Genomic DNA, 14,210 nt, shown 5'->3' on the forward strand with positions numbered 1-14,210 from the left:
GAGGCTGGGGTGGGATGGTCGCTTGAGCCCAGGGAGGTTGAAGCTGCAGTGAGCTGTGACCATGTCACTGCACTCCAGCCTAGGTGACAGAGTGAGACCCTGTCTCTAAATAAATAAAGAAAAAATAAACTCAAATGGGGATTTTGCGGAGTTGACCTCTAACAGCTCGTGCTGGTGTTATTTGAGGGCCTGTTTCCTCTCCTCTCTTGGGCTGTCATTTCCTGCAGGGCATGGTCTATATACTCAGTACTTTAGAAACCTGGAGTCTGGTAGGAATGATTTGAGTCAGCCTCTTATCTTTACAAGCGACAAGACTGAGGGTTAGTGCAGGAACATGGCTTGTTGCTGGTCAAACTCACAGGGTGGCCATGCAGGATCCAGAACCTGCAGCCCCTTTCTCCTGGCCCCAGACTTCTGCTCTTACACCAGGCACAGCACCATCACCCTGGGGTCCTACACTGCCCCCAGCTCCCTGGTGCTCTAAGCAGGACCTGGCAGATCCCTGACTTTACATATGACACTCTAAGCTGATTGCCCTGAAGAAGATTTTTCACTGGGGGACTGCAGAAACTCAGATTCATCTGTTACACTGCTGGGTAAACAGGTACATGTCAGTGCAGTGAGGGAACTCGGAACAACCAAGACACCAAGTATCTGACATGGAAAAAGGGAGAATGAAGTGATGGATCCACACACAGCAAGCTGGAAGGGAAGAGTCTGAGCTGATGCTGAGGTGCAATGTGCATAAATGGGTCAATCACACAGCCACACGGGATAGACAGCCTGATCAACTGTGTTAGACATTTCTCACGGTGGGAGTGCCTCAGAGGCTTTCCCAAAGCTACGAGTTTCAGGGACTCTAGTATTATCTGCAATAACAACAATTCAAAGGAACAAGAGGACACAGGAAGACCACCGTGATTCAGAGCTGATTAGCCCCTCCACAGGCATCCTGTGCTTTGGAGACTTGATTTTTGTCCTTGGCTCCACTTTGCTCCCCCTTTCCTGTGTTCTCGGAGAGGCCTGCCAATTCCAGCAATGATTGCTCCAAGGTTCTCGAGCCAAGCCAGCCACATAAAAAGGTATGGACATTTGGATTCCAAGCAGCTGGGCGGAAGGGATGGTGGGATGGATGGGAGACCTGACATCCCCTTGTCCTGGTCCGATGAGGTCCCCAGTTCAGACTCATCCAAGTGGCTCTGGGGTACCCCGGTTGCCAGCATTCAGCCCAAGCTCACAGAGCTACTTTGATGCAAGAGTATATATGGATGGTGTCTTCTTTTTTTCATTGCTTAGGCTAGAATTTTTTTTTTCACTTCATAGAAGTGAATGTCATTTATGACAAGGGGAAGAAAAAAAACTCTCAAGATATTGAAAACAGAGATACTCTCAATATGTCCAAGCACCATCTTCTCAACGATGAGCTTAAGAATGAATAAAAACCAAACAAATCTAAGTGGCACATTATTCAAACAAATGCTGGAGTAGTGGGCAAAGCATTACACTTTAAATAAATATACCTAACGCTTGAGGACTCGTTATGTGCTAAAGTCTTTACATGAATAGTCTCATTTCATCCTAACTACCTTATGGGCAGGTACTATTTCTATCCCTATTTTACAGATGAGGAAACTAAGGCTCAAATGGGTTAAGCGGTTTATTAAGATGAAGGATTTCTTACTAGTCTTATGAGGACACCACCCACCCTAAATCAGAGCCTGAGAGGCCGACGGGTTCCACTGGGAATGTTTACAGGAACGTGTCCTGTGAATCATAACAAATACACAAATGTAAGATTTTAAAAATAATACGGCACATATATTTTGAGTGTTGTATGAGCATTATTTTTAAATTATCAAGCCAAATCTAAAGAAATGGTTTGTGTGGGCTGGGCGTGGTGGCTCACGCCTGTAATCCCAGCACTTTGGGAGGCCGAGGTGGGCGGATCACGAGGTCAGGAGATCGAGACCATCCTGGCTAACACGGTGAAACCCCGTCTCTACTAAAAATACAAAAATAAAATTAGCCAGGCATGGTGGCGGGCGCCTGTAGTCCCAGCTACTCGGGAGGCTGAGGCAGGAGAATGGCGTGAACCCGGGAGGCTGAGCTTGCAGTGAGCCGAGATCGTGCCACTGCACTCCAGCCTGGGTGACAGAGCAAGACTTTGTCTCAAAAAAAAAAAAAAAAAAAAAAAAAAAAGAAATGGTTTGTGTGATGATAAACGAGATCTTAAAATATGTTCGTGCATACCTTGGCATCTGTGCATGGAGTTTGGGGGTTCAATTCATTGCTATTGCCTGAAACATTTTTAAAATAAGTTTTGGAAAGTTTCATGTAATATATTTTTCTTCAGAATACTTACTTGATCCACTATTTCACTAGGAGAGGGATGAAAAGGAAGAGTTACTACTTCTACTCTGATTTGATTTGAGCCTGGAAAGATGTTTTAAGAGCAGTTTCTGGCCGGGCACGGTGGCTCACACCTGTAATCCCAGCACTTTGAGAGGCTGAGGTGGATGGATCATGTGAGGTCAGGAGTTCAAGGCCACCCTGTGGCAAACACGGTGAAACCCCGTCTCTACTAAAAGCACAAAAATTAGCCGGGCGTGGTGGTGCGCACCTGTAATCCCAGCTACTCGGGAGGATGAGGCAGGAGAATTGCTTGAACCTGGGAGGCGGAGGTTGCAGTGAGCCAAAATTGCACCACTGCATTCCAGACTGGGTGAGACTCCACCTCAAAAAAAAAAAAAAAAAAGCAGTTTCTATTGTTTAATCTATCCTTGTGTTTCACACCAGGAAAAGTAAGTGGGAGAATCAAGCATTTATTACTTCCAAAGTCTTACAAGATAGGCCAAGATATATAAATATTTCCTAGCAAAACAGTATGACCTGCACTATCACTGCTTCTAGATACTAACAAATGACAGGTTACTCTGAAGCCGTACTGTACAGTTTATAATGCATTTCACACATTCAGCTTATTTCATCCTCACTGCCATGGGAGCAGGTATTTTTATTCCTAGTTTATAGAGGAGAAAACTGCTTATGCCAAGTTAAATAGCTTACAGGAGACCACATTAATACTGGGTAATGACTACTTTTAACATTTTGATGTATTTCCATCCCATCATTTTTCAGTAAATGTAATTTTCCTTTATAAAATTGAGATAAAAGTTAAACAATTTTGCATCTTGATTTTTCACCATTAGTCTTTCCTCATACCATTAAAAATTCTTTGAAAACATGATTTTTAATGGCTGCATACTATTCTAAGTTGAATATGTATCAATTTATTTTGTCATTTCCTGTTAGGCATTTAAATAGCTTTCTATTTTTTGCTGTTATAAATAATGCTGAGATAAACATCCCTGAACAAACATCTCATCTACTTAAAAAAGTCTCCTTTGAATTACTGAAAAACTAAGTTAGGCTGATCTTCACTTACATTTTTTTTTTTTTTTTTTTTTGAGATGGAGTCTTGCTTTGTCACCCAGGCTGGAGTGCAGTGGCATGATCTCAGCTCACTGCAACCTCTGCCTCCTGGGTTCAAGTGATTCTCCTGCCTCAGCCTCCCAAGTAGCTGGGATTACAGGCGTCCGCCACACACTGGGCTAATTTTTGTATTTTTAGTAGAGACGGGGTTTTACCATGTTGTCCAGGCTGGTCTCAAACTCCTGACCTCAGGTGATCTGCCCGCCTCAGCCTTCCAAAATGCTGGGATTAGAGGTGTGAGCCACCGCGCCAGCCTCACTTACATTTTAAATGTGAAAACTAAGTTTTATTTTCATTTTTCCTTTAGTTAAATCATTGACATGTTATCACCAGGACTGTTTGTTCAGATGATGTCACCTTTGAAACTGCTGTGCCTACTAAGGGAATGGACATTAGGTCATTGAACCAATAAACTGGAATTTGCTGGGTAAAACTTTTCGTATCTCAGGCTATTTTTCCAGCTATGGATGGGATTTATACTCCTCAGGGCTGAGATGTGCTTGAAAGCACACTGCTGTCTACCCACTGCCATTACCTGTAAGTTGCTCCACTCCACCTTCCATGCTGTTTTGGGAGGAGGGTGAAAGAAAGGGAGGGGAATTTCACTAGAATCAAATCAGTTTCTTACAGTTCTATTTGTTCTTCCAGTCTTTCAGTCATGCAATGACTATTTATTGAGTGTTTTTGATGTTGTAACTTGTAATTTAGGAGTATGACAACAGACTTTAGGTTGTAAACTCTTTGATCTGGGAGTACTGTAAATCGTCATGAGGAGGTTATGGAACACAGCATATCCCAAAGTTACTTGACTATGGAACCCTTTTATTTTCTTTGAACACTTACGAATGATCTCCCACAACTGCATTCCACAGAACATAGGTTAAAGGAAAAGGCTAAAAGGCATCTAACAAACTCCATATCCATTTTGTTTTTTTCTCCAAATAGAATCATTTAAATGAAATCCTTTTAAAACTAGTAATAGATAATTTCTTAATGCAATTAATTTATAGATAAGAAGCCACCAGCTGACATAATCTCTTAAGGTGAAATAACATAGGCAATACCATTAAGATTAGAAGCTTGATATGAATGCCTACTTCCTGGTATTATGAAATATGGAACAGAAGGGGAGACAAAGTAATCATGAAGGTAACTGATACAGTTATCTATCTAGAAAACCTAAGAGAATCTACTGACAAGCTGTCAGAATAACTTCTTGAGTCAAATGACCAGATATAAAACAAAAATGTACAACTCAGTAGCTTCCTTACATATCAGCAATACCCTGCCAAAAAAAATAAGAGAAATAAAAAGCCCATTCATAAGAGCAACAGGGCATAAAATACCTAATACATTAATAAGAGCTCCATAGGACCTGTATGAGTAAATCAATCACTTTTCCAAGAAGGTCTGCGTTAAAGCAATGGTGAGCTGCTGCTTGGGAAGAGCAAATACAAAAATGTAACTTAGAGACAGAATGCAGTTCCAGGACAAATGGATCCCAGTGGGATTTTTTTTTGTTTGTTTTGAAGAACCTAACTAAGAAAGTTCTTCTCAAAGAATGACAGAAAATGAGAATTGATAGCATTTGAAAAATAAAGAGTAATGCACGCAGAAGAGTCTTGAGCTAAAATTATTAAAAAGTATTTCAAAGTGACAATATTTAAGATGGTATGGTGTTGGCATAAGAATTTACAAACAGAATAACACGAGACAAAGGTCCTAACAGACTCAATATAGTATTTAATAACTTAGCGTATGAGGAAGCCTCATGTGACAGCAGAAAAAGGTAGATTTAATAATAGTGTTAGAAAATGACAAAAGACAAAAAAAAAAAAACCCACAACAATATAATTGAGACAGATTTTACTTCCAGGTGGGTTAAAAAGTTAAATATTTAAAAAGTAATCCTATTTTAAAAAGAGCGCCCGGCCAGCCGCCCCGTCCGGGAGGGAGGCGGGGGGCAGCCCCCACCCGGCCGCCGCCCCGTCTGGGAGGTGGGGGGCGCCTCTGCCCAGCCACCCTGTCTGGGAAGTGAGGAGCCCCTCTGCCCGGCCGCCACCCTGTCTGGGAGGTGTACCCAACAGCTCATTGAGAACGGGCCATGATGAGGATGGCGGTTTTGTCGAATAGAAAAGGGGGAAATGTGGGGAAAAGAAAGAGAGATCAGATTGTTACTGTGTCTGTGTAGAAAGAAGTAGACATAGGAGACTGCATTTTGTTCTGTACTAAGAAAAATTCTTCTGCCTTGGGATGCTGTTAATCTATGACTTTACCCCCAACCCCGTGCTCTCTGAAACATGTGCTGTGTCCACTCAGGGTTAAATGGATTAAGGGCAGTGCAAGATGTGCTTTGTTAAACAGATGCCTGAAGGCAGCATACTCCTTAAGAGTCATCACCACTCCCTAATCTCAAGTACCCAGGGACACAAACACTGCGGAAGGCCGCAGGGTCCTCTGCCTAGGAAAACCAGAGACCCTTGTTCACATGTTTATCTGCTGACCTTCCCTCCACTATTGTCCTATGACCCTGCCAAATCCCCCCCTCGGAGAAACACCCAAGAATGATCAATAAATACTAAAAAAAAAAAAAAAAAAGAGGCAGGGCACGGTGGCTCACGCCTGTAATCCCAGCCCTTTGGGAGGCCGAGACAGGCAGATCACTTGAGGTCAGGTGTTCGAGACCAGCCTGGTTAACATGGCAAAACCTTGTCTCTACTAAAAAATACAAAAATTAGCCAGGCATGGTGGCCCATGCCTGTAATCCCAGCTACTTGGGAGGTTGAGGCACAAGAACCGCTTGAACTGGAAGGTGGAGGTTGCAGTGAGCCGAGAACGTGCTACTGCACTCCAGTGTGGGTGGACAGAGTGAGAGTCTGTTTCAAAAAAAAAAAAAAAAAGAATATGAGTGAACATTTCCTGAGTCTTAAGATAAACAAGGATTTTCTAACCAAAAAATAAAAGATATTATAAAAAAGGAAAAATTGTTAGATTTGATCACAAATATTAAATATATCTGCATGGAAAAACTATTACAAAAATTACAAGGCAAATTTCAAACTGGAAAAACACTTTTACAACTGTGACAAAGGATTGATATCTGTTACTGAGAAAAACATTTACATTTATTTATAAGAACAAGACCAGGGCCAGGCTCGGTGGCTCATGCCTATAATCCCAGCATTTTGGGAGGCCGAGGCAGGTGGATCATGAAGTCAGGAGATCGAGACCATCCTGGCTAATACAGTGAAACCCCGTCTCTTCTAAAAATGCAAAAAATTAGCCGGGAGTGGTGGTGGGCGCCTGTAGTCCCAGCTACTCCAGAGGCTGAGGCAGGAGAATGGCGTGAACCTGGGAGGCAGAGCTTGCAGTGAGCTGAGATCGCGCCACTGCACTCCAGCCTGGGTGACAGAGTGAGACTCCATCTCAAAAAAAAAAAAAAAAAAAAAAAAAGGACAAGACCAACACTTCAAATGAAAATTGGACAAAGTTCACAGACAATTCAGACAATTCACAAAGTAATATGGAAGACAACTATATTTTATAAGTTCAACGTCACTAGTAAGAAATAAACAAATTAAAATAAGTCTGTTCTGGCTGAGTGCCCCATGGCTCACGCCTATAATCCCAGCACTTTGGACTTTGGGAGGCCAAGGCGTGAGGATCGCTTGAGCTCAGGAGTTTGAGACCAGCCTAGACAGCACAGCGAGATCCCAACTCTACAAAAAATGAATAAATTGGCTGGGTGTGGTGGTGCAATGTACCTGTAGTCCCAGCTACTCCAGAGGCTGAGGTGGGAGGATTGCTTGAGCCCAGGAGTTTGAGGCTGCAGTGAGCTATGATGGCATCACTGTACTCCAGCCTGGGCAACAGAGCAAGACCCTATCTAAAACACTTTTTTTTCCTATCAAATTAATTTTAATTAGTTTTACTGGCAGTTTGGTGAATTACTGATCCTCATATTTCTGGTGGGAGTCTAATTTGGAATAACTGTCCTAAAAAAGAAAGATAGATACATAGATTTAGGAATATATATAAGCCTGAAAAAAAAAAAAAATATATATATATATTTTGAGACAAGGCCTCACTCAGTTGCCCAGACTGGAGTTCAGTGGTGCAATCTCAGCTTACTGCAGCCTCGACCACCTGGGCTCAAGTGATCCTCCCACCTCAGCCTCCCAGGTAACTGGGACTACAGGCATGCACCACCATGTCCGGCTAATTTTTGTATTTTTTTTTAGAGATGGGGCTCACCATGTTGCCCAGGCTGATCTTGAACTCCTGGAGTCAAGTGATTTGTCCACCTTGGCCTCCCAAAGTGCTGGGATTACAGGTGTGAGCTGCTGCGCCCAGCCTATTATCTATATTTTTTGAGGCACTAATTTATGCTTAGGCTATTCTAAGAAAAAAACTAGAAATACAAAGATTTATGGCCAAAAATGTTCAGTTCATTGCAACATTATGTATAACAGCATAAAAACAGAAACAACCTAAATGTCCAACCTGTACTATAGATTATGATGTAGTCATTGAAGTTATTTTTGAAGACTATATAATGACATAAGAAAATGCTCATCGTATCATATTAAGCAAAAAAGAACCCCATTTATTAAATTATATTTACACAATCCTCAGTTTTGTAAGCATGAATTCTATGTCTTCATCTAAGTCACTGAGAGAAATGTGAACAGATGGGGTTTGGAACGGATGGAAGGTTCAGCAAAGTCAGCCTCCCTTTTCTGGGTTGAGGCTAGCCCTCTTCCATTCCTCCATTAACTGAACCTTCATCTGGCAATGGTTCCCAAATGTTTCCTAGGGGAGGGCACATAAGAATTACTGTGAGAGATGGTTTAGAAAAACAAAAACAGATTTTGGAGCCTGACCCACAGAGATTTCGACTCAGGAGGTCTGAGGTGGGGCCCTGGAATCCGTGTCAAAAGGCCTCCAAGTGATTCTGATGCACAGCCACGTGCAGAAGGAACCACGGCCTTCTGGTTCGAGGTTTTGAAAAGGACATTGAACACCTTTTGTAAGTCAGCTTCTGAATGTGAGTTAGGGAAGATAATGTCAGGATGGAAAAAGCCTTCCCCCTCCTACATTTCTCCAAATACTCTGTTGCTGCTTGTCAGGTGGATGATGTGACAACTGGCCCAGCTGCTGGCCTGCAGCGCTTCCCTGCTCGGACTGCAGCTGCCAGCGCTCCCCTGCCCACCCCCCGCCCCACCTACTCACCTCCTGCCTACCCCCACCACCCCACCCAGCCCCGCCTACCCTGCAGCTCCTTGCCCTGCTCTTCAGGACTTTTGCTCCAAGTCTTGCCTCCTCTTTGTCTTCTGAGATGCCAGCTGCTCCCTCTCCATGGCTTCCCTTCTGTCCACTTTTCATTCTGCTGAGGTTGTGCTTGTCTTTACCCAAACCCCTGTGATGCTTGTGGCCAGGCCTCCTTCCCCCAGGCCTAGCTGCTGAGAATTTGACGCCTCACATCCCACTCATTCCTCAACCCGCGCCATCTGGCTTCCTTCACCACCACTCACAGGCACACCTCTTGGCAAGGTCACCTGGCTCCCAAAGGCTAATCTACTGGTTCTGTTTCAGTCCTTTTCCTGGAAGCATCTGACACTACTGACCACCACCTCTCTCCCTGGCTTTTGTGGGGGTCATCGTTGCTTTACTTGCCTCGTATCCCCTTTTCTTGGTAGCAGCATCCTCAGGAGCTGCCTTCCCCAGCTCTCAGGCCACGTGGTTGGTGGGGCTGACCTCCCCACTCCCCACATTTCATGCCCCTGCCCCTAAGGATTGGTTCAGGGATGGGCATATGGTCAGGGTCAAACCAATGAGACTCAAGCCTGAGACTTTTACTGGGGCTGCTGAGCCAGCAGAATTCGAGGCTGGAAATGGAGGTGGCCGCCTGCCCACCCCTGAGAAGGAACACAACATGAGGAGGGCCACAGAGCCAACAGAGTCCTGGTGTGTCTCCTGCAGTCCTGGGCCAAGCCTGAAGCTTGCACATCCTGGTCTGATGGGTTTCAGGAAAACGTTCTTATCTTTTTATCTAAGCTAGCTTTGGTTGGATTTCTGTCACTTGCAACCTAAAGAGATCTGAGACAGCACTGAGCCACTACCCTCCCAGGCAATTACCCACCTCTTTGGTACTTTCCCCGGAGGGTCTCCACAAGCTCTGCTTCCTCTCACTTAAGAGTCCTGTGCAAGGACTTCTACTTCCCAGATGCTGGCTACTAAATGCTGACACTCCCAAGTCAACAGACCAGCCCAGATATCTCCCTGAGCTCCAGACCCATGTCTTACCCCTCATGGACATCGCCACCTTGGTGTCCACTCAAACATGACAGGTCTAAATCTAAACTTATCATTATGCCCCATCCTTCCTCTTCTTGGATCCCCATCTCAGTGAACAGCTGTACTCCCCAGTTACCCCAGAAACCGAGGCCTCATGGGTGACACCTCCCCACCCTCACTCCCTGGCCCTCTTTGGGCAGCTAATTCTCTGCTCATTCCTCAGGGCTCAGCTTTTAGGCTGCATTCTCAGGGAGGCAGCCTTTTCCAACCCGCAAGCCTGAATGAGGGGGTCCCTCCTATGCCCCCAGCCACCCTGTGTTTCTAGTGTTACAGCCCTTGTCACTCAGAGCTGTGGCCTGTTGACTCTCTTCTGTGATGGCTGGCCCCAACCCTGAAATCAAGATCATTTGAATAAATGAACACTAGCATCTGTAGGTGTGATCTTATATTGTATATTGAAAATATAGTCTAATTTTCTGTAAAAATTAAATATCTCAATATTTTAGAGAGATCTGTAAAGGGTATAATATTTGGAACAGAAGATTGATTTTCAGGAGCCCCAGTATCTGGATGAGTGTGAGAACCACTAAATAGGACCCATAGTTTTTCTGTGTGAGATTTTATTTTTTTAAAAATAGATGAACCAGGCTGCCTATTAGTGAATGCCTTCACTTCCCTTTTCCTTAATTACTGAGTCTAGAAACTTATCAAGGGAATGAAGCAGGCCTTTGTTCCTATTCAGAATCCATTTCCCTGCTTTTTTGAAAATGAGAACATCTGCCTGCTTCCAGTGTTCCAATACTTTTCATATTCTTCACAATTTCTTAAAAGCCACCAAATACAGTTCTTTGAGCAGAAATGCAAGTTCTTTCATCCATGTGTCCGGCCAGAGATTTCCTGAACCTCGCCTGTGGCAGGCCCTGGGAGAGCTCCTCAGCCTGTGGTTTTAATCCCCTCTTGAACACAGCTGGGCTCCCTTCTGCCATCTCTGGGGCATTTTCTTTGAGGAAAAGGAGGAAGCTGAGTAGTTCTGCTTTCTGTTAATATTGCAGCAAGAGCCCATGAGTGGGCCGATCACTTCCTGATTCTTGTTCTTGTTCTAATCATACCTTAAAAGGCTTTTTTAATGTCCAAGGCACTTTTACCTTCTCAGCCCACTCCAGCTTCTTGATCCTTCATACCGCCCATAAACCTTGTCTGCACCCTTGCACATGCACCCCTGCCCCTTTTTTCCCCTATTAAATACTATAGTTAAATGTTAATATCTAAAGTTTTTAAACACAATTACGGTATCAAGCATTTTATTAAAAATTTTTATCATACTTTGATTTTACCAACTTGAGTGTTATGAACAATGAACATGTTTATACATTGACAAGAATACTCATACAGGGATTGTGGGATGGCTACTTTCACTCCCTTTTCCCTCATCTTTACTCCTTTTTTTTTTTTTTTTTGTAGAGATGGGGTCTCACTATGTTGCCCAGGGTGGTCTTGAACTCCTGAGCTCAAACGATCCACCTACCTCAGTCTCCCAAAGTGTTAGGATTACAGGTGTGAGCCACTGCACCTGGCCCCTCATCTTTACTCTTTAGTTCCTTTGCCCTTGGGTTCTTCTAGCTTATTTCTACTTTGTTTTCTTTCTGGCATCCATTTCTATTTTAAATTATTACACATAGATGCAGAAATTACTTGGCTGGCGCTAGTTGCAGAATCATGAAAATTAAATCACATGATGCTTAGTGTTGAAAGACTGAATTGTTTTGGTTTTTTATTGAGATATAATTCATATACCAGAAAATTTATTCTTTTACAGGGTGCACTCCTTTAGTATATTCACAAAGTTGTGCAACCAATATCATTATCCAATTTCAGAACATTTTCATCACATCAAAGAGAAACTCCACGCCCACTAACAGTCATTCTCTATTTCGTTTGCATGCGGCTATCCAGTTGTCCTAGCACCATTTGTTGAACTATAGTTTCCCCCATTGTTCTAATAGTTTTTAAGTGGTTTCTTAGGATTCTCTACATAGAAGATCATGTCATCTGCAAAGAGTTTTACTTTTTTCTCTCCAGTCTGGGAGTTTATTTCTTTTCTTGCCTTATTTCCCTGCTCTCTACCCTTTTAAAGCCTATATAGTTTCTTGAGTGACTTCCCTCTTTTTTCCTCATTAGAATAAGTTTTCTGGGGAGAGGGAACAGAGCATATGAAGGGAGAAAGTGGAGCTCTTAAAAATGTGTAGTTTGGGATGGGGCGCGGTGGCTCACGCCTGTAATCCCAGCACTTTGGGAGGCCAAGGCGGGCAAATCACCTGAGGTCGGGAGTTTGAGACCAGCCTGACCAACATGGAAAAACCCCATCTCTACTAAAAATACAAAATTAGCCAGGCGTGGTGGCACATGCCTGTAATCCCAGCTACTCGGGAGGCTGAGACAGAAGAATTGCTTGAACCCGGGAGGGGGAGGTTGCGGTGAGCCGAGATCATGCCATGGCACTCCAGCCTGGGCAACAACAGCGAAACTGTCTCAAAAAAAAAAAATTGTGTAGTTTGCATTCATTTCAAATGGACTTCATACTTTTTCAGTGGAAATGTCTTCCTTCACAGCACCTGGGGCCAGGGATTTTCTGGAGGAATCTTTGAAATCTGTTTTCCTCAAGTTTTGGACACAAGCCTGGGTGAGCTCCATATCCATCCTTCCTCGGCTAGTACAGAGTCTAAGATGACATGGTCACTTTCCCCCATGCCCATCTCCCCTCCTTCTCTGGCCAATTCTTTATTGCCAGTCAAAGGCAGAAGAGCCAACAGCAATAAGAGAAGATTCCCACCATGTCAGCACAGGTTCTGTGTCATCAGTGACCTCTTGGAATGTGCAGGAAGCCAGGGAGATAAGAATCTATGGCTATGTAGATTAGGTACACCCCACAGCCAAGTATGAGCTTCTAGGGCCCAATCGCTAGAAGCAAACAACCCAGACCACTAACCAGGCTCTAACTAAGGCAGGATCCAGGATGCTCAGCACCCTGGGCCAACCCTTCCGCTCAAGATGAATCCATGGTTCATTTACAGTGTCTGGGGTGATATTTAATTCCAAGTTCACAAGTCTCCAGGGTAGCTGCCCTTTTGTTTGGGGATTTCCTCCCGGGTGCTAAATCACTTCCTCCTAGCTCCAATCTGAAAAGCAATTCAGGTCTCCTGTGGCCTCACCAAGCTTCCTGCCCACACTGATTTTCTTCTAACCTCACTGGTCTACCTTGTGTACATCACCTAACAACAAAGCCACTTAGCTCAAGGAAAGCCTCAAGAACAAATGGCTTCCTAATAAGGTGATTCCTCCCTCACCCTAGGGTGGCCCACAGCTCCAGCACCTGCTGAGAGGTGGCCAATTTGGATGAGGTAGCTGCCAGGAATCAAATCTCAGAACCCTTCATAAAACTGCGCTTAGCTATTCCACAAATTTCTCCAAATAATGAAACAGAGAGAAGAGTGAGAATATAATGAGAGAGAAATCTGGAAAAATACAAAAGATAAATTCATGTTCCTGTGAGTTGTATTCATCTTCCTGGGAGTTGATAATCAGGCTGGCTAGCTATCCAGTCTATGGGAGCAGAGAGAGGGCTGCATTATCTCCAGGTTGGCACAGCATCTAGCAGGGGCTCCCTGATGACACCTGGGCACAACAAGGACCTCACAGCAAAGACAAACAGGAGGAAATGCCTAGGGTGTGGGGACATGCCACCACTAAATTACAAAAATATATGCCTTTCTTCTTTGTATGTTTCAACAGTACCGCTTCCCACTCTTGTACCACTTGGCCATAACACTTTATTATCCCTAGTACCTAAAAACTAGACAGTATTACTGAGACCTTAAATGTGACATTTGTCATCTTTCAAGGTGCCAGTTACTGTAATACAGCTATGGTTCATTTTGAGTGTCTGGGTGACGGTGACATATTTAATTCTATTTTTGTCTTGTCCATAAGCACCAAATAAAGCAATTTTGAAATTACTTTCTTCACACTCAATTTATTATCTAGAACGACATTTCAATACACAGTATATTTGTTTTGTGGAATTCATTCGCAGTGTATCTGGAGGCCTGGATTTAACATATTTCCTGTAGTGATAGCTACTCTATTTGTAGGAACTATTTAGGTCACTGGAGTGGAGAAAAAGAGGTCGCTACTTAACAGAAATGGCATGTATCCAAATATAGATGCAGTTTTCTCAACACCTGTTGCACATCAAATGATGAAGAGATTGTTACAATTTCCAAAACCCTGGACCAAAACCTTAAATGATCAGCACTTTGTTTCAACTGATACACGGCTTAAGTCAGAAAAATAAGTTCTTCTTACCAAAAACAGTGAGCCTAAATATGCTGGCTGCTTTAGAAATAAAACAGGTGATCAACAAA

The 14,210-nt window shown here is 43.5% G+C and overlaps 1 protein-coding gene across 2 annotated transcripts in view, besides 3 other annotated features; it reads right to left on the reverse strand.

Annotated features, from left to right (window-relative positions):
* The window catches only part of EHD4 (EH domain containing 4), a 76,625-nt gene that overhangs the window by 61,292 nt on the left and 1,123 nt on the right, over positions 1–14,210 (reverse strand). The window contains exon 1 of one of the 2 annotated variants that reach the window (XM_047432408.1): positions 8,764–8,891. The exons of the other annotated variant lie outside the window; for it this stretch is intronic. The gene's annotated coding sequence lies outside the window, so the exon portion shown is untranslated. Of the gene's footprint in view, positions 1–8,763; positions 8,892–14,210 lie in introns of those variants that run through there. 2 annotated transcript variants of the gene reach the window in all.
* Positions 50–169: an enhancer, noted in NCBI's record as "active region_9293". NCBI's record gives its function as "activates an Ori minimal core promoter by ATAC-STARR-seq in GM12878 lymphoblastoid cells {active_cell/tissue: GM12878}" and the evidence as "EXISTENCE:reporter gene assay evidence [ECO:0000049][PMID:35858748]".
* Positions 10,972–11,021: an enhancer, noted in NCBI's record as "active region_9294". NCBI's record gives its function as "activates an Ori minimal core promoter by ATAC-STARR-seq in GM12878 lymphoblastoid cells {active_cell/tissue: GM12878}" and the evidence as "EXISTENCE:reporter gene assay evidence [ECO:0000049][PMID:35858748]".
* Positions 12,793–13,012: an enhancer, noted in NCBI's record as "active region_9295". NCBI's record gives its function as "activates an Ori minimal core promoter by ATAC-STARR-seq in GM12878 lymphoblastoid cells {active_cell/tissue: GM12878}" and the evidence as "EXISTENCE:reporter gene assay evidence [ECO:0000049][PMID:35858748]".

Source organism: Homo sapiens, chromosome 15, assembly GCF_000001405.40.
Source record: "Homo sapiens chromosome 15, GRCh38.p14 Primary Assembly".
In the NCBI taxonomy this organism is placed as follows: domain Eukaryota; kingdom Metazoa; phylum Chordata; class Mammalia; order Primates; family Hominidae; genus Homo; species Homo sapiens.